General features: G+C 39.2%; 2 protein-coding genes across 16 annotated transcripts in view, besides 5 other annotated features; both read right to left on the reverse strand.

Annotated features, from left to right (window-relative positions):
* Positions 1–1,259, reverse strand: part of XXYLT1 (xyloside xylosyltransferase 1) — a 202,876-nt gene extending 201,617 nt beyond the window's left edge. For all 3 annotated transcript variants that reach the window (XR_924105.4, NM_152531.5, XM_017005749.3), the window contains exon 1: positions 655–1,259. Coding sequence is in view for 2 of the 3 variants with exons in the window: in NM_152531.5 (NP_689744.3) it covers positions 655–1,158 (504 nt within the window). In the remaining variant the exon portion in view is untranslated. The remainder of the gene's footprint in view (positions 1–654) is intronic.
* Positions 498–1,289: an enhancer, noted in NCBI's record as "H3K27ac hESC enhancer chr3:194991127-194991918 (GRCh37/hg19 assembly coordinates)". NCBI's record gives its function as "activates a minimal SCP1, AML or CMV promoter by ChIP-STARR-seq in naive H9 embryonic stem cells {active_cell/tissue: H9 hESC(naive)}" and the evidence as "EXISTENCE:reporter gene assay evidence [ECO:0000049][PMID:30033119]".
* Positions 498–1,409: a biological region, named in NCBI's record as "H3K27ac hESC enhancer GRCh37_chr3:194991127-194991918".
* Positions 540–719: a silencer, noted in NCBI's record as "silent region_15033". NCBI's record gives its function as "represses an Ori minimal core promoter by ATAC-STARR-seq in GM12878 lymphoblastoid cells {active_cell/tissue: GM12878}" and the evidence as "EXISTENCE:reporter gene assay evidence [ECO:0000049][PMID:35858748]".
* Positions 880–1,409: a silencer, noted in NCBI's record as "silent region_15034". NCBI's record gives its function as "represses an Ori minimal core promoter by ATAC-STARR-seq in GM12878 lymphoblastoid cells {active_cell/tissue: GM12878}" and the evidence as "EXISTENCE:reporter gene assay evidence [ECO:0000049][PMID:35858748]".
* Positions 1,660–1,889: a silencer, noted in NCBI's record as "silent region_15035". NCBI's record gives its function as "represses an Ori minimal core promoter by ATAC-STARR-seq in GM12878 lymphoblastoid cells {active_cell/tissue: GM12878}" and the evidence as "EXISTENCE:reporter gene assay evidence [ECO:0000049][PMID:35858748]".
* Positions 4,845–25,744, reverse strand: part of ACAP2 (ArfGAP with coiled-coil, ankyrin repeat and PH domains 2) — a 168,276-nt gene continuing 147,376 nt past the window's right edge. For 6 of the 13 annotated variants that reach the window (XM_011512603.3, XM_011512602.3, XM_017006047.2 and 3 more), the window contains 7 exons: positions 25,296–25,400; positions 24,819–24,911; positions 22,365–22,552; positions 21,806–21,915; positions 19,221–19,331; positions 15,896–15,957; positions 4,845–9,528 (listed from right to left, as the gene is read on the reverse strand). In XM_011512603.3, coding sequence (XP_011510905.1) covers positions 9,428–9,528; positions 15,896–15,957; positions 19,221–19,331; positions 21,806–21,915; positions 22,365–22,552; positions 24,819–24,911; positions 25,296–25,400 — 770 coding nt within the window. In that variant the 3' untranslated portion in view covers positions 4,845–9,427. Of the gene's footprint in view, positions 9,529–9,790; positions 15,958–19,220; positions 19,332–21,805; positions 21,916–22,364; positions 22,553–24,818; positions 24,912–25,295; positions 25,401–25,744 lie in introns of those variants that run through there. The other 7 variants (NM_012287.6, XM_006713557.4, XM_017006049.2 and 4 more) reach the window with 2 other exon arrangements.

Consider the following 25,744-nt stretch of genomic DNA (forward strand, 5'->3'; position numbering starts at 1 on the left):
CCTGGGACAAGGCGGCCAGCTGTGCTCTCCCCAGATCATATCTGTTCCTCTTGAGCTTTCTCTTCCTCATTCGGAGGAACTCCAGGCTTCTCTAAATGGGTTCATGACCCTTGGAGGAAGGGGAAAAAGGGACACAGAGAGGAGATAAGATGGTTCACAATGAGTTTGACCAGATCCTACTGAAATACCTTAAGAGCAATGAGAAGTGTCACTGCAACTTCAACACTTCCAGAGGCCTCACCAAGGCCCTCTCCAGTTGCTCAGGATGACTACTGGTGACCAGTCCCATCCTCAGAAGTCAAAAACTGAGGAACATAAACAGAGGTGCAGACTCTGAAGGCAGTGCTGAACCCTGCAACGTTAGCAAAATGGGGGCGCGCGGACTCTCCTGGGGGCTGCGCTTAACTGGGGGAGAGGAAAACGAGGCGGTCATTAAAAACGCAGCTCCACTCCTCAGCACCAGCTGAGGGCGTCTGGCTCCCGGACACGCCCCCGAACGAGCCCTCCCGCAGGTTGTGAACACTACATTGCAAGCGGGCAGCTCAGGGAAGATCCTACCCGCTAGTTCCCCGGATCCCCTCCGGGAGCGCAAACTGACCTCGCCTAGGATGGGGTGGGCCACCCACCGGGAGCCCCCAGCCGCGGCCCGCTCACCTTGCACTTGAAGCCAGCGGCGGGCGGCAGGAGCTCCCGCAGCAGGCCCTTGGCCACCTCGCGGCTGGCCTCCTCGCTCACGAAGTGAAGGTTAAGCACCTCGTGCGCCTCGAACTTGGCGAGGCGCAGCAGTGAGCGCAGCGCGACGCGGGCCTTGGCCTGCAGCGCGGCATTGTGCTCCGCCTTGGTGAACATCATCAGCAGGTGGTAGTCCACCGGCCCGGCACCGCCGCCCTCCAAGCTCTTGGCCTTCGCGCCGGGGGCTGGCGCCACGGAGCCCCGCGCTAGCTCCAGCGCGGGCGGCGAGGGCGCGGCGGGAGCCCCGGCGCGGGCCTCCTTCAGCCTCTTGGTGGCGCTGGAGAAGGTCTCCCGGCCTGAGCCGAGGTAGTAGAAGGCGCAGACGGCCAGCGCCGCGGCCAGCAGCAGGGCGCAGTAGTGGGAGCGCACAGCGCCCAGGCGCGCCATGGCCCGAGCGCATGGGAGCCCGCCTCGGAGGAGGCCCATGCGCTACGAGACCGCGGCGCCAGCGGTGCCAGCAACGCGGGAGAGCCCTCGGGTACCCGGACGCCGGCGGCCACTTAGCCCCGGCGCCAGGCGGCGGCCATGAAAGGGGCGGGGCCGCGCCGCCTGGAGCCAATCGCGGGCGCCGGTGCGCGGAGGGGCGGGGCCGGGCGTGCCGAAACCGCTGGGTCCTAGGTTCCAAGGGTATTAGAGGAGGGGTTAGGGTGGGATCCGGCGCCCGGCGTTGGGAGGGGGGGATTCCGGACTCCAGCGTGCTGAGGGCTGGCCCGCTGTCCCGGCTGAGAAATGGCGCCCTACGCGGCGAGCCCCAGAGGATATCCAAGCTGAGTGTTGAAGGGAATGGAGGCGCCCGAACAGAGGAACTTAGGTTAGCCAAAAGCGAAGCTGGAGGCACCAAGAGGTAAAACTTTAATCTCTGCACCTTTTTTCCCTCAATTTCTTGGAGGCTTTAAGCCGTCTCGGCCTCTCCCTGCACACGAGCTGCAGCTAGGCAATTTAAACCGGCAGCTCCTCCCTTTTCCCCCGCCCTGGGAGGAAATGGCCCGGGCCGCACGTCGCGCCGGAGGCCGAGCGGAGGGAGGCTGGAGGATGTGGCCAGCAGGGGGCCCCCGCCGCCCGCACGAACCTGCGAGGCTGCTCCCCGAGCCCCAGCACCGCAAAGCCCTGGAGGGCGACATTCATCCACTTTTGTTTTATAAACAGACTTTTAACACTTTATCAAGAGCCTCCTTGAGGGTACCAGGGAGTTTTGCACGCCGAGGTCACGTGCCCAAAGTCACACAGCTAGCCAGTAGCAATTTTGACCCTAGGCAGTTGCACACTGCTAACTAGATAAAAACGTACTAACTTCAGTCTTCTAAGAATTGAGGCTATACCAGTAGTTTTTAAGTAAACACGTGCAAGTGCTGTGCATGCTGTCTAAATAGACAAAGAACTTGAGTAAGTACAGTAACCCTTCAGTTCTTTGGCCAAGTTCTCTGATTTCTGACCAGAGATTAGGTAAACGGTTTTTCCTGTTATTTCCACATTGTAAGGTTGCATGGATTATCCAACCTCTCTGCTTCAGACCTTGGCTTACATGTCACTACCTACACAAATGATCTCTAAATACCTCCTATCCAGTGTCTGGGCTAAGTGCCATCCTCAATAATTCTGTGAGGGCCACCTAAATATATGTACTACCCTAGTCTCATCTTTCTTCATTGCAAGAACACGTGACTCCAAGAGAACAGAATATACATTTGTTTTTTATTAACCACAATATACCCAGTACCTAACACGGTGCCTACCACATTGGATGAGTCTCAAAAATATACTCAACCATTGAAACAGCATTTTTATTTCTAGAAAATCTTCCTAATAATTTAAGAATGTTCAAAATATTTAACCATAAGAATAAAGCAAGGCCAAGCATGGTGGCTTAGGCCGGGAATGGTGGCTCACGCCTGTAATCCTAGCACTTTGGGAGGCCGAGGAGGGCAGATCACCTTAGGCCAGGAGTTCGAGACCAGCCTGCCCAACATGGCGAAACCCCGTCTCTACTAAAAATACAAAAAATTAGCCAGACATGGTGGCGGGCGCCTGTAATCCCAGCTACTCAGGAGGCTGAGGCAGAAGAATCGCTTGAACCTGGGAGGTGGAGGTTGCAGTGAGCCGAGATCATAACACTGCACTCCAGCCTGGGCGACAAGAGCAAAACTCTGTCTCAAAAAAAAAAAAAAAGTAGGCAGTGTGGTGGCGGACACCTGCAATTCCAGCTACTCGAGAGGCTGAGGCAAGAGAATCGCTTGAACCTAGGAGGCAGAGGATGCAGTGAGCCGAGATCATAACACTGCACTCCAGCCTGGGCGACAAGAGCAAAACCCTGTCTCAAAAAAAAAAAAAAAGTAGGCAGTGTGGTGGCGGACACCTGCAATTCCAGCTACTCGAGAGGCTGAGGCAAGAGAATCGCTTGAACCTAGGAGGCAGAGGATGCAGTGAGCCGAGATTGTGCCTCTGTACTCTAGCCTGGCGAAAGAGAGCGAGACCCTGTCTCAAAAAACAAACATAAAAATAAAGCAAAGCTAGGTTCATGATGGCAAAAAATCAGAATCAAATGGTCATCAATAAAGTGGTTAAAGCTAAAATAATGCAGTCATTAAAAGTGATGTTTTCAACAAACTGCAGGTGGAAATTTAAAAAACTAACAAATGGGTGAGGTGGCTCATACCCGTACTCCAAGCTATGTGGGAGACTGAGGTGGGAGGATCACTTGAGCTCAGGGGTCCAAGGCTGCAGTGAGCTACGATCGCCACAGGACTCCAGCCTGGATGACAGTGCGAGACCCCAATTCCAAAAAAAAAATAGTAATGGTAACAAATGGAAAAAAAAACCTACAGAGACTAAGAAACATATTCACCAACTGCAACGTATGGAACTTATGTGAATTCTGATTTGCACGATCTATTTTAAAAATCGTATTTGAGAAACCAATTTGAATATTGATTATGTAGTTTTACAGTTTAAGAAGTGTTACGATTTTTTAAAGTCCTCAACTTTTAGATGTACATACGGAATGATTTGCTGGTGAAAGGTCTAGGATCTGGTTCCAAAAAGTCCAGGAAAGGGGAAAAATGGGTAGGAGAACAAATATAAGCCATGAGCTTATAGCTATTGATTTTCTCTACCTGTACATGCTTGAAATTTCCCATAAAGTTCTCCCCATCTATTAAGTGAAAGAAGTGGGTAACTGTATGATCCCATTATATAAATGTATGAATACACACACCCAAAGGTCTAGAAGGGTATACACAAAAAAGTAACAGTATCTCCCTCAGTGCTATCCAGTAGAACTTCCTGTGACAATGTATATATTCTACAATCTCCCCTGTTCAAAACAATAGTCACTAGCCACATGGGGCTATAAAGTTCTTAAAATGTAGCAGTACGACTGAGGAAATGAACTCTTTGTCTAATTCCAATTAAGTAGCCACATGTAGCTAGTGAGTTCCATTTTGGACAGCACAAGATAATGGAATTGTGGATGATTCTCTTGCTTCTTCTTAACATTTCTCCACAAGCAAAAAGCTTTGTGTTTGCAATAATTGAAAAATTAAACTGTTTTCACTTAAAATATTTATAGACTATTGATGTGGGTTCTCCACAGAACTATTCTGAAAATGAAATGAAGCTGAATAAAGCAAGTTATATTGAAAAGTTTATGTGTCTGCTTTCAATTAGCTTTTTTTTTTTTAAAGCAAATGCAGGTGATACACTTCCAGTTTGGTTTTTTCAACCTTCCATTCCTTCAGTCCCAATTCACTGACAAACGTGTGTGTGTCTGTTTACTAAAAGGATAAAATGGGAATGTGCTGCATAGATTAGGAACATTAATGTCAATCATAATGGAAAAAACTTAGAGCAAGCCCCTCCCCCCACCCCCCAAAAAAAACCTTTTATCTTTTTGCCAATGAATTAGGGGCTATAACAGCTCTGTGAACAAAGAGAATTATATACTTAAAAGATCCAAATGGATTTCTTGATTGAAGTAATCAGCAAATAGGATGAATGTGGATTTGAAAGGGCTGGGAAGAAATACCTTAAAAATAATAGTACCTTAAAAATAACTGCTGTTGACAGATATGTTCACAGTGTATTTCACAAGAAAATGTAAATCACCATGAAAGAACTAAGCCAGAGGTGAGATCTTTATTGACTTATTGTAATTTTTTGGCATACAAATTACTTAAGTATATTTACAATTCTTACATAATGTACATTTTAGAAGATAATGTACTTTGCTCCATTTACAATGACAAACTACTGTAAAACTACATTCATGAATTAGATACAAATCCTCTACATACTAATAAAAAGTAAATGGACTGTTGGTTATACATTCTTTAAAATATACCTTTTCACAGGTAGCAAGAAATAGTACATGTAATAAGTCTTTATGACTGGAATGATCCAGAAATATCACAAAGCATGAGTAAACACATATATAAAAGTAGCTCATCATTTCCAAAAGTTAACCTTTAGCCTTTGTGTAAAATAAATGGTGCCAACAATCTTTATAATGTAGCAAGCTTTCCCTGTTTAATATCCAAAAAATGGAGGGTGGGGAGGTTGAAGAAAAATAAGAAAAGTTAGCAAATAAGATAGTGAAAAGACCAATGCAGAGAAAAGTTTATGTAATCAAATCTTGCTTTGTCTCCACATTATCACATTTTAAGTGGATAAATTTATGTAAACAGAAAAAGATGTCCACAAAACCATATCTGTAGATGTCATTTGGAAGCATCAAGAAATTGATAAGTATGTGGTGAATTAAAATTACTTTTATAATGTTTTGCTTTCATTAATGTTTGTTATTGCAAAAATGTAAGATTTCCTACAATTTTGTCTTCAAATCCCAATCTAGCCCTTCAAACTTTTATCCAGGTTCTCCAGAATATTTGGAGTCTTTGTTATCAAAGCACAAGGAAAGCTGGCATTCATTATCAGACTTCGCTGCTTTACAATGATTTCAAATCATTTCATGATACAAATAAAGTGCCTCTGACTGGTGGTCAGTCAGACCTGGGTAATGGTGCCAATTCTGCCACCAGCTAGCAAATCAAGTGACCCTGCTCTGTAAAACAAAAGGAGCACCCTAGGATCAAAAAAGTAGACAACTTTGGAGCTTAGATTAAGATCTCAGAAATCCTACCATGAGAATCCAGTGAGATAAAGCAATGCCAAGTACACTGTAAGTAGCAAAACAGTATACAAAGGGATGCTTCTATATTTTCACCTTGTTTCATTACACTCATTTTAATTGTGAGGAGCCCTGAATCCAAAAAGGGTAGTGACGACTAGTCCAGTGCTCCTTCCACCGTATCATGCGGTTCTAAAGTCATTCTGGACATACAATCTACAAAAATACATCATTTTTCCAGCTCATGTCCATGATCCAAAGTGATATTATACACAAGTGTTATCTGACAATATAAGAATGATCTGGGAATGTCTGTTCAAAACGGTAGTAAATTTAGTCTTAAACACAATTTCATTTACTGCGACCATACTTAACATGCATAAAATATTTTTAAAATACAAACTTAAATTGGCCAGATTCTGAATGTGTACTTTTTTTCTTTTTCAAAATGCACTCATGAAGAACCAAAGTTCATATTCCAAATTAAATCTGTATGTCTGGAAAAGTAACCAATCAAAGTTCATTAAAATATACAGTGAAAACCGGTATAAATTAGGCAAACACCATAATCTAATGAATATCAGGAAATTTCTGAGTTTCTAAGGATTGTATTAAAGGTAACTTTTTAAAACCTTAGAAATCTTAAGCACATAAATGTTATAATGAAGCATTTGCAAATGACTGCTCAATTACTTTTATTCTAGCTCTAACATGAAATTGCATTTTATTAACTCTTCATAGTGCTGCTATTCTTATTTTGATATTAATCTAACTTTCAAGTTAGTAAGCTAATGATAATGAGCTAACAGATTAATAATAAGGAATAAGAAACTAATAATAGCAGATAAGTTATGGAAAGAAAATAAAAGGCCAATCACATTGACTAATGAAGCCCAAAAGCATGATTAACTAAGATTTCTTATAATGCACTGAATAATTCACAGCATAACATAATTCAGATTTGTTACATACCATATAAAAGCTATTAGTTGACATGGCTAAATTCACCTAAGAGCCAACCTACCTTGTAACTATTAATTTAATTTAAAGCCTTGCTGTTTACTCCATCATTTCTGCCAAATGTAGTCCAAATTGGGTCTCAGCATATTCAAGAAATCAAGCCACAGAAATGTGTACTTGTATTGCTAGGCTCCCTGCAATATTAAAGATTTTGCTTTCTCTGAAGATATTCTGAACCATGATCATCTTTAAGGCACTTCAAATACATTTCTGACCACTAAATTTAAGTAGATACTAATTAATTACTGCCATATTAACAATTCATCACGTAAGCCACAGGAGGCAAGAGTCTCATAAGGAATTGCCTTCACAACCACAGAGATTCCAGAGGTGATCTGAATGAAACACGCACCAATGGCCAGATCCAAAAGGAAAACTACCTAGACTTCCTCAGATAAAAGTCAGGATCTTTAGGAATTAAAACAGGAAGGGACACTATAAAGGAAAAGTGAGGTTTTTTCTTTTTCTTTAACGTACTTCTTTTCTTTGAGCTTCTTGGTCAAATAATTTCAAGGTACATGCTAATAAAAACTACAAATCAGATTTTTGCCTTTAGTGAAGGTGCCTAAAAAGCCAGATGATCTATGACTTTGAGGTGAAACAGCAAAGATAAAGATTTAATGTTCCTGTTATTGTTATAATTAAATACAATGCTGTGGAAGTTAGCATTTCCTCAGAAGTAATTCACAAATATATTTTTATCCTTATCTAACATACAGTGACCATTACTAAATAAGCATTACATGCATGCAGTTTGGCCAAATTATGGAACCTTTTCTGTAATGTGAACTTATTTCAATATAATTCCTGCTTGGCTAGATTCTGATTTGATGTTTAATCAACTTATAAAACCCTAGTGACTGGGAAATGTTAGAAAATTTATCTATAATTGGATCATAAAGTTTTTATATATTTTAAAACCTCTTATTTAGAAAGAGTATCAATAATATCATTTACATATAATTTCTAAAAGAAGAATAGACTTAATTGTTGACAACAATGGGAAGGAATCAAAAGGCAAATTAGGCTGGGTGCGGTGGCTCACGCCTGTAATCCCAGCACTCTGGGAGGCTAAAGCAGGCTGATCACCTGAGGTCAGGAGTTCGAGACCAACCTGGCCAAAATGGTGAAACCCGTCTTTACTAAAAATATAGAAATTAGCTCGGAATGGTGGCGGGTGCCTGTAGTCCCAGCTACTCGGGAGGCTGAGGCAGGAGAATTGCTTGAACCCAAGAGGAGGAGGCTGCAGTGAGCTGAGATCGTGCCACTGCACTCCAGCCTGGGTGACACAGCAAGACGCCATCTCGGGAAAAAAAAAAAAAAAAAGCAAATTAATTATTTTATACTTTAAGACATTTTCAAAGATGGAATCAGACTAATTTGTAGCATATAAATGGTAATGTTTATCCATAATATTTTGGAATTCAGGGGTCTGTGAATCATGTAACCGAATACTAAAGCTATATACACGATATAATTTAAAAGAATGTACACTGTGTACAAGTACACAAAATAGATGTAGAAAAAATAAACAGCAATTTATTGCTATATATTTTAGTATTAACTAAGAATAAGTGGGGTTCTTTTTCTCCTTTGTACAGAGATTTTTCTTTCACTAGGAGCAACAGCAAAACTATCTTTAAAAGGACAAATTTCAAATATAAAAATGGCCTACATGATTTTATAAATTGATTTTTCCTTTAAAGTTTTGATGAAGGCATAATTTTGTGACATTCAAGTAACCTTTAAAACATACTTTTATTCCATCGATACATCTGTCAAGGTTTTGGGGAATCAACCCAACAATGAAGAACTACACATTTTGAACTGGGGTTTTTTTTTGTGATTAAAAAAAAAAAAGAGCTTCTTTTTGCTGCATAAAATAAATCTAAAGGACTGAATTATGGTCTACCTGTACAGCCATTATACATACATACATTAAAGTACTGGACAATAACCTGTCACCTAAGAAGTATAACCGACCGCATTTATGAACAAACGGGGAAAACACATTCTCTAGTTCTAATAAATCATATATTATGTGTATGAAAGCTAGGTTACCAAAAACACATCAACACACACACCTATTTCTGAACCACCAAAAAGCCTCAGGGAAGCTAAAGAAAACACATATTCTTGAGGCAGGCAGGACAGTTGGCTTCCACTTGATGAAGACATGCTTGACTGAGTGATCCTGGGCAAGATGCATGGAGGAAAAAAATCAATGCCACCACCCATTGGCAAAAGAATCACTTTTGTCTAACCTCCTATCATCTTGTAACCTAGAGATGGCCTAAATCTAGACTGAACTTCTGTCTACAGAAATAGCCCTTTAAATAGGCTTTTTTAATAAAAGAGGTCCTAAACTAGGTTCCTCTCCTACTACTAGATAACTATGTTTTAATTTATAAATATATGAATGGGTACCTCTTTTCCAAGCCATTCAATATCTACCAAAATTAAGTAGAATTAAAGCAGTAAAAAAATTGTGATTTTTTAGCTGTATACATTAGGGGGTCACCAGATTTCATATTTTCCCATTTTTAAAAAAATTCAGAATTTCTGTGAATCTTGCTGGAAACGATTTAGTTTCTCTGGATTATTGGATGCCATTTGGGAAAAATCACGAAATATGTCCTGATAAGTTTCATCACCTGCATGAAATAAAATAAAGACACTTTAAACATTTACACAAGTATTAATCAAACAACATTCATATTTATTACTAGTACTATTTTATAATTCATTACATTAAAATTTTGTTCAGATGAGCATTTTTGGAAGAAAAGGGGCAACTAAAAATAAATGCTGAAAAATTATGCAATGAAAGAAAAAAAAAAACTATACCTGAAAAAAGCACCTCAGATGCAGCCACAGAAGAAAGCTCAGAGTTAGAAAAGAGCAAAGATGCAAGTGTTTTAAAGCAATGTAAAGAAATACGTTTATTAACACACGGGGGGGAAAAGTCATTCTAAATGAGGTGGAGTAAATGAGACCTTCTTTAAATAAATATTTCCCTTGATAAAGGCCAAAAGAAATGACTAAAACCAAATACTAATGTTTTGGATGGATGCAAGTTATTAACAAGACAAACTGATAATCAAGACAAACTGATAATCAGATAGGGAAAAATAATACTATCTTTTAATTAAAAGCAATTTGAAAAAGTAATTTTTTACTCAAACTTTAATGCGTAATTAAAACTAATGCACCTAATCCACTGCTTCCTAAACTCATAAAATAAAAATCTAGCTGGGTGCAGTGCCTCACGCCTATAACCCCAACACTTTGGGAAGCTGGGTGGGGGGGTTGGGGGGAGAATTGGTTGAGGCCAGGAGTTCAAGACCAGTCTGGGCAACATAGCGAGACTACATCTCTACAAAAATTAACAACAAAATCCTAGAAAATGGCTTTAAGGCCAGGTGTGGTGGCTCATGCCTGTAACCCCAGCACTTTGGGAGGCTGAGGCGGGCAGATCACCTGAGGTCAGGAGTTTGAGACCGCCCGGCCAACATGATGAAACCCTGTCTCTACTAAAAATACAAAAAGTAACCAGGCGTGGTGGTGGGCACCTGTAATCCCAGCTACTCGGGAGGCTGAGGCAGGAGAATCGCTTGAACCCGGGAGGTGGAGGTTGCAGTGAGCTGAGATCGCACCACTGCACTCCAGCCTGGGCAACAGAGCGAGACTCTGTTTCAATAAAAAATAAAAAAAAGAAAATGGCTTTAAAATCAGTTTTGCATTTAAAAGTTGGGTTTGTTTTTGTTTTACTGCAGGTCATATGAGCAAGAATGCTATGACAAAATGCAAATAAATACCAAGGACATCTGTTAAATTAGAAAAATAAACGTGTATATGTACAAATATGTTTACCGAGAAATAGATTATAGATACTGATATTATAGCTGACTGAATACCATTTTTCTTGTCATGAGAAACTAAATATACACACACATACAGATCAATCCCTCAGACGAAGGAATCTTATTTTCAAGATAAATCGTTGATCATGAATGCTTCCTGCTAAACATTAGCCTTATACAAATGCTTGGCATAATTCTGTTCTCAAGATTTCAACCATAAAATACTGTTTTTGATTATTATTGTAACATTTTAAAATTATCTCCTATAAGATACCTTGCATCCACCTTATAACACACTCATTGCTACAGATGTTGTTAATAGTGCAGTAAGTTTTGTCAGTTTTTAAAAAGTGAGATTTTTGAAGCAAGAGATGTCATACCAAAAGCTAGAGAATTAGAAAAAAGTTGAGGATAGGAGTAAAGATCTAGTAAAAAGGTCTAACAGCATAAGCCAAGATTTTGAATTAAAAAAATGTTAATACTTTTGGCCCGGCCGGGTGGCTCACGCCTCTAATCCCAGCACTTTGAGAGGCCGAGACGGGCGGATCACGAGGTCAGGAGATGGAGACCATCCTGGCTAACACGGTGAAACCCCGTCTCTATTAAAAATACAAAAAATTAGCCGGGCGTGGTGGTGGGCGCCTGTAGTCCCAGCTACTCGGGAGGCCAAGGCATGAGAATGGTGTGAACCCGGGAGGCAGAGCTTGCAGTGAGCCAAGATCGCGCCACTGCACTCCAGCCTGGGCAACAGAGCGAGACTCCGCCTCAAAAAAAGAAAAAAAAGGAAAAAAAATCTAATACTTTCTAGTCACTTTTTGTATTTAGTCTAGGTAAAAAGCAACTATTAACATCTCTATATAGTTTTCATTTAGCCCTGGAAATTTATTCCCGACCTGAATCAATCAATTAAACCTCATCAGTCTACTTTAAAAAGAAAAAAACAGTAAGAAGAGATTATTAACAGGTGGCTGAGAGTAACATCTAACTCATATTGACATGACTAAAATAAAAGGTTGATACGTTGGAACAGCTGGTAAGACAATCCAATTATACCCATGGTTTTGTAAAAGTTCACTTCCACATCAAAAGACAAACATTGCTATTCTCATTTTAACCATTCTAAAAGATAGAAAATAAATAGAGCAACATTAAATAGCAACAAACCATATAAAATATTTTTTCTAATTTGCAGATGTTGAATTAAAATATGTAAAATATTTATTGTAAACATTATAAATATTTTTAAAAGACTATTTAAACTGGATAGTCTGGAATTTTCCTTTCCAAGAAAGTGTAAAGTGCAGAGTATAATACAAAAATACCACAAAGATTTTACCATTCAACACTAGAAGTAACTTAAAAGGCACACATTATACATTCAAGAAGAAATAGGAAGAAGGGTCTAGCAGACGTTAATACCAAATAGTCTACAGGTAGCACCAGATGAGCACTGTTAAGTATTACAACAGTACAATGGCAATATATGGCTTCTACTATTAGCAATGCATATTTTGTATAACAAGCTATGGAACTTTTTAAATGGTTTCTCCGGTTTTGTTTTTAAATCATCTAGTACCTATTACACAAGTATATTTTAGTAGAACCATTGTACCATGCAAAACAAATTATAAGACTCAAATGCTTCCTTGAATGAAAGTGTTGGTGCTATAATAATCATTGGTTTCACTGACTGAATACATTTAAAAAGTGTTAATATAATACAAAAGGAAGTTGCCACCTTCACATACACACAAAACTTTTTGTTAACATTTAGTTTCTAACAAAACATTAATTAATGCACTGTTAATGTACTACCTTTCTTAGATCTCAAAATGTGTTGTCAAAAGCAAATGTTACAAGAACAATAGTGACCAAGATATTTAATACAGCTAACACAAATTGAACTTCAATGTGATTTTTTAATATTTAAATATAATTTTGATTACTTAGAATTTTTCCCAAGGCAAATATAATTTGTCTACATTGGAACACATAAACAACAACCCAGAATATGCTGCCATGGAATGTTCCCAGAAATACATTTAACAGTTTATTATAAATGGTAAACAACTCATCACTCAACATTTATAATACTAAGCATATTCTTTAAACTTAACCACATTCTATTTCCCCTCAGACAGTTAACTTTTCTATGTGCCTGGACAGCTCTAAGTTTTTAAAATGCAGACTGCTGTGTTTCCACTGACAGTTTAAATTCACTTTTAATTTTTGGTATTCAGAATATCTACCACAACAGCAGTTATGATGATTCAAGAGTTTGCTAATTTTGCTCTTGAAATGTACTCCCCTCACCTCACAGGGACGGCAGCACATGAGACCCACCCCAGGTCATCCTATGCACGACCTTACCCCTTCTGGGTGGGTAACAGCTTACTTTCATAATTACTTAGATCAGCGATTCCCAACTTGTGCTTGCTACATACTCACATAACCAGTAGCGGGTCCCTAAAGCAGTGATGATTCTCAACTGGCTGAGAGCCTGCCAACGATCAAGAAGAGTCACAGAGCCAGAGACTGTGGGAACCACCAAACCGGTTTCCAACAACTGAGAGAAGAGTGTGCTGTTTCCCTCACCCACCCATGTCTCCTAAGGGCTACTGGGACTGCCAAAGAGAGACACACCTTCTTTTGAAGAAAACGTGTGCTCTCAATCACCCCACGCAAGAAACAGGGAGTCCCAGGTCCCTAGGGTTGTACAGATAGAAAGTTCACAAGTGGGGTTTCCTAGAAATAAATCAGTGATTGCCAAAGATTACATCTGAATCTTTTAAAGGATAAGAGCTCTTCATTATCAAAAGATTAAAAATACCTGCATTTAATTTACCCAGAGTTCTGAGGTTTTCATTCTATTGCTAAGAAAACCAAAAAAGGATCTCAATAAAACAAGCAACCAAAGCATTTGATAGAAAAATGTACAGTGATAAGCAGAGGAAAAACAAACAGCCGCTGCCTGAGCCAAACATACCTGTCTCATAAAGAAAAAGAACAGAAACCGAAGAGCAATTGCTATGCCATTTCACCATGTCCCCTGTCTAAGCATAAAATCATCCTGCTTTAAATATTAGGCCCTCTGAATGAGTTAAAAATCTAACCCTTCTCAAGATGATCCTCAAATAAATCAGAAATATCTCAATTTTATTCTGATATACTATTTCCAGAATTCTGGTCTATTTTTTAACCTCTAAACTAAAATGTGAGAATGGTAAGAGAGCTTGTTTTAAAATGAGGCTTTTTTTTTCAAGTTTTCATTAAATTAAATTGGTAAAATCTTTTCTATACATTTTAAGTTTATGTATATATAAACTCAAAAATGACAGTGGAAGACATTTGAATGCTCCTAAATGATGGTGGCAGACACCCAAACAATTTGGGTGGAACTAGAAGTGGCAAGAACTTAGAGGCCCTTTCCTTTCAAGCTTCCCAACTCCAGAGAAGAGTCGACCACTGACCACCTGGCTAATCAGCTGGGTGAACTTCATCAGCAGACACCGTAAGGAAAGAGCAGCTAACCAAACACTGAAGTTAAAAATGTCAGGGGGAAAATAATTGTTTAACTTAAAATCGTGAGGTTCACTCTTCTCTTACAAATATCAGGTCATATTCTTTAAACAATTTTTATTTTAAAGTGCTTAAACACAAAGGCCTCAAAAACGGCCTAGTAATACTATCAGTTAAGAATATCTGTTATAAAATTATAACCTATTTAAAATCTAACATTCAAGTTTGAAACAAATGGGTGAAATCCAGAATGAACGCTAGAGCTTCACCCTTCATCAGCACTCTTCCATCTCGGAACATCATGAGCCGCCTACTATTGTATGATCCATAGGATTCAAGTGGGACACCCTAGATTAGAAATATCTAGCTGAAGTGCCTCTATTCTTAACGTTCTTACTTGTTCCACATTAAATTAGGCCAAAAATAAGCAGTAGTAAATACGGTCCTCTGAGGAAAGAACGGCCTCACATTAACTATATATTAATCTCGTTAAAATAAATGGCTGAAGTACAGAAATTTCAAAATGTATTTAAACAGGAAGAAGAGATGATATTACCAGGTCACTTTAAAAATAATGTATCAATATTCATTTTTAAAAAACCAAACCTACTCATTGCAAACTGAATATTCTCAAGTATTTTAGTCACGAATTCATGAAATTTTTTACTAATGTGTATATAAATTTAAAACAGACAGATGAGTAATTCATATACTCAAATTCATGAAACAAGAAAACCAATAATTACTCTCTTCTTTGTGAAGAACGTCTAATCAACGTGTTCTTCAAAGAGAAGAATCTGATACTTCTTCCTTGACATCTTGATTCAAAGGTGAAAATTACTCAAAATGAAACTTGAGGTGATCATGAATTGAAATTTCTCAAGTAGAATAAATCTACTTTGCCATCAGGTGCAAAAAGTATTGTTCTAAATACTTCCGCTTATCTAAGAGATAATGTACAACTGCCTGGAGGCAAAGCTTTAGCTTTAGATAAAATGAGACCTTTGCCCTCAGCCTTTCAAACTAGCTCCACTCACATCATGGACTTCTCCACCTGGTGAATTTTCATTTTAAATCTTCAACTCATTTTTAGATTGTAGTACAAAACTCATCAGTAAACTTTTTCTTGGTATTTTCCATACTGGCTTTTTATATGCCAGACACATGGTGATTTTTTTTTTCCCTGAACGTAATTTATAGAAATTCCCTGAATAACAAAAAGAAAACAATTTTGTTATATTCACTTGACAGCTAAAAAGAATTCCAAAAAGAAAACAACTATTTTGCTGCTGTAAGTATATGAAGAATATTTTTACCATTCCATTCATTTCACTGGAATGTATATGGAAGACATCCGTACAGCAAATAAAGAAGTCAGCAGCCAGAGTGAAATAGAGCAAGTCAATGTGTACTGTCATAGGAAGAGTTACGAATGTTTAAAGGCCCGGGATTAGCCACCCAAGGATTCAGTTAAGTACAGTACAAAGCTAACAACTCACAATTTACAAGTGGGTTATAAAAACTCTATAGTATCACATTAGTTTGCTAAAGAACTATGAATCTTCCAGTTGTAAACTGATAAATTCCTGAATGCATTTCTTATACTGCATTTCAGTATGGTTATTAGTAGAATATTGACCTGGCTGTCCATAAAGTCCTTCTGATTCCCGCATCTCTTCATTCATTCTTGCTAAACGTAACCTAAAAATAAATAAAATAGTGTTTTAGATGACATTATATAATATAAATGTCATAAATAAAGTCTATAAACAGGTAATACATGTACTAATGTAATTGTGTTTTATTTGCCATTAAAATAATCTGGCTTTTAGTTTATCAAACCCAGCAATCTGAGGTACAAAGATAAGTATCTCACCTTCATACAATTCTCATAAGAAAGGACAACAAAAATCTTCTGACGACTGCATTTTAGCTGTACTGCAGCAGCATCCCCGCAATACCTCTAGTGGCTTGCTTCCTCCAGATGCCTGACAATTCCTGGCTCTTACAGCAACCTGTCAAATTTTAACTGCCAACTGTTGAAATTATTGCTTCTATAGTGCAGAAGTGAGAACCTGTCATAAGTTCACTCTGGCTCACCCTGAAGTGAGGTAGCTGCAGACATATAAACAGCATGTGTGGCCTCTAAACACTGGGAATATATTTTGATATACAAACATTATAATAAATGACTATAGGTTACCAAGAATTTCCTAACATTACCATATTGCTTATACATTCTTTTTAGGTTACTCATCTTGGCAGCAGATGACATGTAGCACTAGATTAAGAAGCTAAGTATTTCCTTTAAGCAACATTTTAAAATAGGCAAATATTGTGTTTGGTACCCCTCTCCTACTCTGTACCTCTCGTCCGTCCTTCTGGGCCACCAAATTTCCACTGCCTTCTCAGACCTCCATCACCCTCTTCTGAAATGTTCTCTCTGGCAACTGCAGCGTGTGACATGAACTTTTCCTATCTTCAAAGTTCCACAATTCCCTTTATCTTCTCTCTCAACCACTGTGTGTATTAACAACAGTTCCACAAATCTTCCTTTGGCATTTGGGTTTTCACAGAGGATGCTTACAAAAATTCTTAAGTGAAACTGAAGCACTCACACAAAGTAAAACAAGAAAATTTAGACGATTTGAAAACAGATTATTTTTAAGGGAAGGGTCCACTGCTATATAGGTATTGCCTGGGAAGCTGCCTGCAGAGCTTGTCTCTCTATATCATTCCTATCTTTTCTTTAATAACTTATCTTTCTTCTACTGTAAATCTGTAATGATTTAAGAGTTCTACATTTTCCTGCAATAGCCTCCATAATAACAGTAACCCCTCCTGTGGGGAAAGGATCTGAGAAAGTATGTTTTGCTGTTTTGTTATTTTATTTGGCAGAGGGGTGACATATGACAAGTCAAGAATTCTCAGTAGGAGCTCAGGAGTGTGGATGGACCTATTTCTTCTCCAATGAGGGGGGATAAGCAATTATGGGCTTCATTTAGCCCAGGGTAAGTGAATAAGTGATAAAGAATAAGTGACGATACAAAACATGCTTGAGATTTCCTACATAATAAGGTATCGGTGACGATTAATTTTCTGAATTCCATGTGTAATAAACTACTTTGATCTGAGATGTAAATCAAATTAAGACCTCAAAATTATTTAAAAGATCACATTACATTTTATTCAAACATTCAGAAGCATGCATTTTAATCTTAAAATTAATCAAGTATTCACGTAAATAATTTTTTTTTTTTTTGAGACAGGGTCTCATTCATCCTCCCAAGTAGCTACGACTACACGCATGTGCCACCACACCCGGCTAATTTTTAATTTTTTGTAGAGACAGGGCCTCGCTATGTTGCCCAGGCTTTTCTCCAGCTTCTGGGCTCAAGCAACGCTCCCACCTCAATCTCCTGAGTAGCTTGGATTATGGGTGGGAGCACCTAGCTTTATGTGAATAATTCTTTTTAAAAACAAGCACAAATTCCTACCACTGCCCAAAGGTAATGGAACTTCACAAATTACTAATATCAATGCAACTATCCTGCCTACAGAATTAGAGAATCCTCTAATTCTCGAGGTAGTAGAATAATTATCTGTTAGTCTAACAATCCCAGCCTCTGCCCTAGTACTATACAAAGAGATAAAGAAACCATTTTAGCCGGGCACGGTGACTCACGCCTGTAATCCTAGCACTTTGGGAGGCTGAGGCAGGTGGATCACCTGAGGTCAGGAGTTTAAGACCAGCCTGACCAACATGGAGAAACCTCATCTACTAAAAATACAAAATTAGCCAGGCGTGGTGGCGCATGTGTGTAATCCCAGCTACTCAGGAGGCTGAGGAGGGAGAATCGCTTGAACCCGGGAGGCAGAGGTTGCTGAGCTGAGATCGTGCCATTGCACTCCAGCCTGGGCAACAAGAGCAAAACTCTGTCTCAAAAAAAAAAAAAAGAAACCATTTTGAAGAAGTCACTGGTTTTCTGTTTCTGTATCAGGCAGTATAGCATAAATGGCTAAGAACATGGGGAGCATGGGCTTTAGGGCCACAATTCTTGGTTTCAAATCCCAACTCCATCACTTACTAAAATCTCAAATTATCTATGGCTTGGCTTCTTTTTCTATAAAATGAAGACAATATTAACAATATCTTCCTCAGAGTTGTTGTGAGAACCAAATAAGTTCATGCATGTAAAGTGTTTAATACATTTAATGTGCTTAGAGAAGTACATGGCACAAAGTAAATACCAACCAACTTCGAAGTTCACACAATGCACAATGCTCTGTTAGCACTGTGTGCAAGTACAGTTGGCCGCTGTCCTTCTCTGTGGGTTCAACCAATCACCAGTGGAAAATATTCAGGGGAAAAAAGGCAATAAAAAACAACCATACAACAATTTTAAAATACAAATAATCGGCCAGGCGCGGTGGCTCACACCTGTAATCCCAGCACTTTGGGAGGCCGAGGCGGGTGGATCACCTGAGGTCAGGAGTTCGAGACCAGCCTGGCCAACATGGTGAAACCCCATCTCTACTAAAAATACAAAAATTAGCAGGTTGTGGTGGATCACGCCTGTAATCCCAGCGACTAGGGAGGCTGAGGCAGGAGAATGGCTTGAATCTGGGAGGTGGAGGTTGCAGGGAGCCGGTGCACTCCACTCTGGGCAACAGAGTGAGAGTCGGTCTCAAAAATAGATACATAAATATAAATACAAAACACTATAGTATAACAACTACATAGATAGCATTTCCATTGTATTAAGTATAATAAGTAGAGATGATTTAAAGTACATGGGAGGAGGTATGTAAGTTATATGTAAATACATACCATTTTATATAAGGGACATGAGCATATGTGGATGTTGGTATCCACAGGGTCCTGGAACTAATTCACTGTGGATAACCGAGGGACAACTGTAATTCACTGTATGGAAATAGTCAAGTAAAAAGGAAGTACTTACAAGGTGACTATATCAGCATTGGCTGCTTCCACAGCTATGCTCAAAGGGTCTTTCCCTTCTTCATCAGTGGCATGTTGATTGGCACCTCGTTTTAGGAATAAACATACCTGCCTGTTTAAGAACACAGCATTTTTGAGATATTGTCGATAAGAAAAAAAAATTAGTATTCACCTTAAAAAAAAAAAGTACTACTTAAGTAACATTTTCATTAGGAAATTCTTGATTCATTCTACAAATATTAACTGAACACTAACTCTACTAACAAAAACTTACCAAGATCAACATTTCACAAGTCTCAAGGTATTTTTGCATACATTATCTTATTTAATCTGGTGCTATATAGATAGCATGGTGGATATATAAGTTGTGGTCCCTACCCTCAAAGAATATCATAAAAAGGCCAGACGTGGTGGCTCACGCCTGTAATCCCAGCACTTTGGGAGGCCAAGGTGTGCGGATCACAAAGTCAGGAGATCGAGACCATCCTGGCTAACAAGGTGAAACCCCGTCTCTACTAAAATTAAAAAAAAAAAAACATAGCCGGGTGTGGTGGCGGACGCCTGTAGTCCCAGCTACACAGGAGGCTGAGGCAGGAGAATGGCGTGAACCCGGGAGGCGGAGCTTGCAGTGAGCCGAGATCACACCACTGCACTCCAGCCTGGGCGAGAGCAAGACTCCGTCTCAAAAAAAAAAAAAAAAAGAATATCATAAAAACATGTGCACAGGTATCTATAAACCTAAATGAAAAAAAGATCACTCAAGGTCATTATTTGAAAATGAAGAAAGCCAAGGCAATGTAAACTTCATAATAATAATACAACAGCAAAGAATGGGAAGTAATCTGCTTGCTGTACTTGCAAATATTCATTACTTGAATAAACTGAAAAAGAAATCTAAAATATGAAAGAATAACTAAATGGAGTCTATGAAATAAAATGGAAAGAATTTTGATAGTTTAAGAAGAAAATAATGGCTGGGCAAGGTAAGCACCTGTAATCTCAGCTACTCAGAAGGCAGAGGTAGGGGGAATCACTTGAGGTCAGAAGTTCAAGACCAGCCTGAGCAACATAGCAAAATGTCTCTAAAAAAAATTTAAAAATTAGCCGGGAGTGGCAGGGCATGCCTGTAGTCCCAGCCACTTGGGAAGCTGAGGCATGAAGATCCTGAGCCCCAGAATTCAAGGCTGTAGTGAGCTATGAATGTGCCTATGAACAGTCACCACACTCCAACGTGAGCAACATAGTGAGACTCCCATCTCTTAAAAAAAAAGAAGAAAATACAAAGGATGAGTTAAGTACTACCTTAAATACTACCTTTTTTAAGTGTAGAAAGTTTAAACGATGAAGTTATCTGACTGAATCTCTTTGCTGATAGAAGAAAACAAGCCATGATAAAAATAGCCAGACATGGCCGTGCGCAGTGGCTCATACCTGTAATCCCAGCATTTTGGGAGGCTGAGGCAGGTGGATCACCTGAGGTCAGGAGTTCAAGACCAGCCTGGCCAACATGATGAAACCTCGTCTCTACTAAAAATACAAAAAAATTAGCCAGGCATGGTGGTGCACACCTACAATCCCAGCTACTCAGGGGGCTAAGGCAGGAGAATCGCTTGAACCCAGGAGGCGGAGGTTGCAGTGAGCTGAGATCGTGCTACTGCACTCCAGCCTGGGTGACAGAGCAAGACTTTATCTCAAAATAAATAAATAAATAAATAAATAAATAAATAAATAATAAATAAATAAATAAATAAATAAAAATAGCCAGACACAGTGGCTCACACCTATAACCCAAGCTACTAGGGGAGGATCGCTTGAGCCTAGGAGTTCAAGGCTGTAGTGAGCTATGATTGCACCAGTGCACTCCTGCCTAGGCAACAGGGCGAGACCCTGTCTCTAAATAAATGAAGATGCTATTTTAAAAATATTTCAAAATAAGAGCTTCTTGCTTATCCACCACATAATAATCGGATACCCTGAGATATCTTATTAAGAAACAAGCGTTTAAGACACAAATTTTTCACATAAAGCCAGCATTTTCTTTCATGTATACTTCCTAATAATAGAAAGTCCATTTTCAAGGCTTTATTGTTCTGTGAATCTTACTATCGCTCCAGAAGACACAATGTCAACAACCCAAAGTAAGAATTTAGTTTAGAATTTGACTTTAGCTACCCTGTGGAAAAAACTAAAAATTACAAAGTCATCAAATTATCTTTAAATAGGTTATGTGTGTGCATGCTATGGAAATAATGTATATGTACATACATACATAAACACAAACACAGGCTTAAGTTGTCTGACAAAATCACAATTTTAATAACAGAGAAAGTTAAGTACTAAAACTGATCTATTTAATGACAAGTTAAGGTCAAAGTAAGCCTTGAAATTTTTGTATCTGAAAACCAATAGTAGCTTTTTCTGAAAGAGATTTTTTTTAACTTTCAAATTCCATCGTGACAAAATAAGTCATGGAACACATCTCTTTACAAACACTACCTGAAAACTTTAACCTAAGAAAAACTAAAACATTAATTCAAAATAATTTTTCAAATAAAGTCTCCTTAAATATGAAAGCACTGCAGTTACCCTGTGTGCCCTAAGACGGTGGCATGGTGCAATGGTCCCCGCCCTTGGACATCTCTTTGGTTGACATTAGCACCATTCTGTAGGAGGAACTCACACGTCACCAAAGAGCCCTTAAAGGAAAAAAGAGGATAACTATAGACAAAAGCAAATAACAAGAAACAACAATACATTTCTTTTTAAAAACAATTGGTTTTCGTTACTCAAATAGCATTTCCATTTCCTTCTCTCCAAAACAAAAAATATCCCTCAGCCAAGGCAGAGAAATTATAAATTATATTATTTTCTTCCCAAGAACTAATTCTAATAGAGATTCATTTGCAGTTTGTGAACTAGCAAAACACATTATATACTTTCATTATCGGAATTCTCTTCCACTGCAAAAAAACTTGAAACAACCGAAGTGGTGCTCAGAAACCACTACTATTAATAGCACAGAGGTTCCTTCTATTTTCTAACCCATCTCTTGAAGCAAAGACAATACTAAAGCCAGTTCAGAACATATTATGATTTTTTTTAAATATTTGATTGCTACTGAAAATGTCATTGTATAAACGCATACCCCTAATACAGCCTGAATAAGTGGTGTCGCTTTGTTTTCCTCTGAATTGGCCCAGTTCACGTCTGCACCATGAGCCAAAGCCTCAGCCATTTTAGGAAGGTTTTTTTCATATGACGCCCTATAAAGCTGAAGTCCTGGATTAAGATGTTTCGAGTCAAGAAACATAGAAGAATCTTGCCTTTCTCCTTCTGAAAAGCAAACACATACACATCAATAAAAATGAGCTCTTGGCAGAAAAAGAAAAAATTATTTAATAGGTAGAGTTTCAGTTTTGCAAGATAAAAAGAGTTCTGTGGATGAATGGCAGTAAAGATAGCACACTAATGGGAATATACTTAATGCCACTAAACTGTACACTTAAAAATGGTTAAGATGGGCCAGGCACGGTGGCTCACGCCTGCAATCCCAGCACTTTGGGAGGCCGAGGGGGGTGGATCACTTGAGGTCAGGAGTTTGAAACTAGCCTGGCCAACATGGTGAAACCTCGTCTTTACTAAAAATACAAAAATTAACCAGGCATGGTAGCGGGCACCTGTAATCCCATCTACCTGGGAGACTGAGGGACGAGAATCACTTGAACCCGGGAGGCAGAGGTTGCAGTGAGCTGAGATTGCACCACTGCACTCCAGCCTGAGCAATAGAGCGAGACTCAGTCTCAAAAAAAAAAAAAAAAAAAAAGTTAAGATGATAAATTTTATGTGCATTTTATTGCAATTTTTAAAAAATAAAGCTATGACATAAGAAACCATTAATCTATCATAATGAGCTTATGGGAGATTTTCACATAGCTATTCCCCAACATTCAACCTTCTTCTTCTATAAAGACAATCACTGATATGCCAGGCCTTTCTGTTCTTGCCAGTATCCAAGGGATAGGTTAATTACTCTGTACTACATTAAAATTGAGTATATTCCTAAATGTTGGGACTTAAGAAGCAGCAAGAATCCATAAAAACTTTTACTACTAGACCAAACCTCACTTCATTCCTAGGATGGTCCAATACCATCCCAATTGGCACTACAAGCACTTCAAATAATTTGAAGAGTGCTGACTCCCCTGAGTACTCTGCAGGACCAAAATCACTGAAATCATGGAGGAGGGGACAAGGGTTTAAAGCACAAGTCAAAAGAAAAATCTAATGGGGAGGGAGTTGCTGATCTCTTTCTCCTGATAGGACAGCCACAAGGAAAGATAAACGATAATAAGACAGTTCATGTGGATTAAAAATTATCCTTGGCAATTGGTAAGGCACTTTTAGCACATACCATTAGGCTTGGAAGAATGTACAACTAAGCATCAGGTGTGCTGGCTGACGCCTATAATCCCAGCACTTTCGGAGGCTGAGAGAGGTGGATCACTTGAAGTCAGGAGTTCAAGACCAGCCTGGCCAACATGGTGAAACCCCATCTCTACTAAAAATACAAAAATTAGCTGGGCATGGTGGCACACACCTGTAACCCAGCTACTTGGGAGGCTGAGTAGGAGAACTGCGTGAACAGAAGGTAGAGGCTGCAGTGAGCCAAGATCATGCCATTGCACTCCAGCCAGGACAACAGAGCGAGACTCAAAATAAAAAATAAAATGTAGGGCAGCCTCGGTGGCTCGCGCCTGCAATCCCAGCACTTTGGGAGGCCGAGGCGGGTGGATCACGAGGTCAGGAGATTGAGACCATCCTGGCTAACATGGTGAAACCCCACCTCTACTAAAAATACAAAAAAAAAAAATTAGCCAGGCATGGTGGTGGGCATCTGTAGTCCCAGCTACTCGGGAGGCTGAGGCAGGGGAATGGCATGAACCCGGGAGGTGGGGCTTGCAGTAAGCGAAGATCGCACCACTGTACTCCATCCTGGGTGACAGAGCAAGACTCCATCTCAAAAAAATAAATAAATAAAAATTTTAAAAAGTATAAACAATATATAGCTAGGACAGAATTTCCAAATATGAAGAAATCGCTGCTTTCTCATTTAAGAGTATTACTCCTCCCCTAGTTACCTTCTAAAAGACTAACCCCTTCCTTTAAAATATTTAATCAAGAGTAGGGCCGGGCACGGTGGCTCAAATCCCAGCACTTTGGGAGGCCGAGGTTGGTGGATCACAAGGTCAGGAGTTCGAGACCAGCCTGGCCAATGTGGTGAAACCTCGTCCCTACTAAAAACACAAAAATTAGCTGGGCGTGGTGGTGGGCGCCTGTAATCCCAGCTACTCGGGAGGCTGAGGCAGGAGAATCACTTGAAACTGGAAGGCGGAGGTTGCAGTGAGCCAAGATCGTACCGCTGCACTCCAGCCTGGGCAGTAAGAGTGAAACTCCATCTCAAAAAAAAAAGAAGAAAAAAAAAAAAAAAATTATATATATATATATATATATAATTTTTTTTTTAATCAAAGGTAAACATTTACCACATGCACTTTCCAGCAAACAAAACCAATTAACATTGAGTTTCATCAGAACTCACCAGGCTCATATAAACTATTGGCTGACACCGTGGAGGGTAAAGATTCTCTTCCATCATCAGAGCTCTGCTGAATTCCACTGTCATTACTTCTGACTGTTTTAAAGAAAAATTAACTAATGATTAAAGTTCATGCCATTTAGAAAACAATCTCCCACAAACAAGGTTTTAAAATGAGCTCTTACACATCAACATGAACTCAGGCACCACAAGGAGAATGCATTTAATATAATTTTAAGCCTTTTGAACACTTAGCTTATCGAGATATAAATCAATCATAAAACCTGAAAATAAACTTATTTTCAGAGTTTAACACATCTCATTACTCCATAATATGTCAGGGGTAGTAAAGAGCTTAATTTATTATATGACTGTAAGTAACGTGTAATTCTGAGACAATGGGTAACATCTAGAGAAATGGCCACACCGCACAATGACCACTGGCACAGACTTGGAATGCTCCACAAGAGTAGTACTTACTACTACGCAGTTTTGAAGAAGTATCAAAGTAGGAGAAGAGTGAATCTAGCTCATCAGGACAAAACAGAGACTCCCGCCTGGCCTCGTCGCTATTTACAGCAATCACTGGGGACATGCAAGTTAGCAAAGCACAAAGCAGGCCATAAGAAGGGAAAAGGGCAGGAAAAAACGTTACTGGGAAAAAATTTAGGAGGAAAAAATAGGAAGGAAATCAGGTAGTTAATCAGATACTTAGGGCTTTTGAAATGTCAGGTTTATAATTCCCATCTCCCCTTGCATTTTAAGCAGTTTTATTCCTTAGAATATACACATTACCTAGAAAGGTGAAATATTATGGCATTGTTTAAAGTTAACTATTTTAAAGACACAGAAATTCAGTTTTTCTTAGAATATGTAGAAGGGAACAGGTTTTTAACATTAAAAAAAACGACAATGGCTATTAGTTCAGG

This window comes from Homo sapiens, chromosome 3 (genome assembly GCF_000001405.40).
Source record: "Homo sapiens chromosome 3, GRCh38.p14 Primary Assembly".
Taxonomy (NCBI): domain Eukaryota; kingdom Metazoa; phylum Chordata; class Mammalia; order Primates; family Hominidae; genus Homo; species Homo sapiens.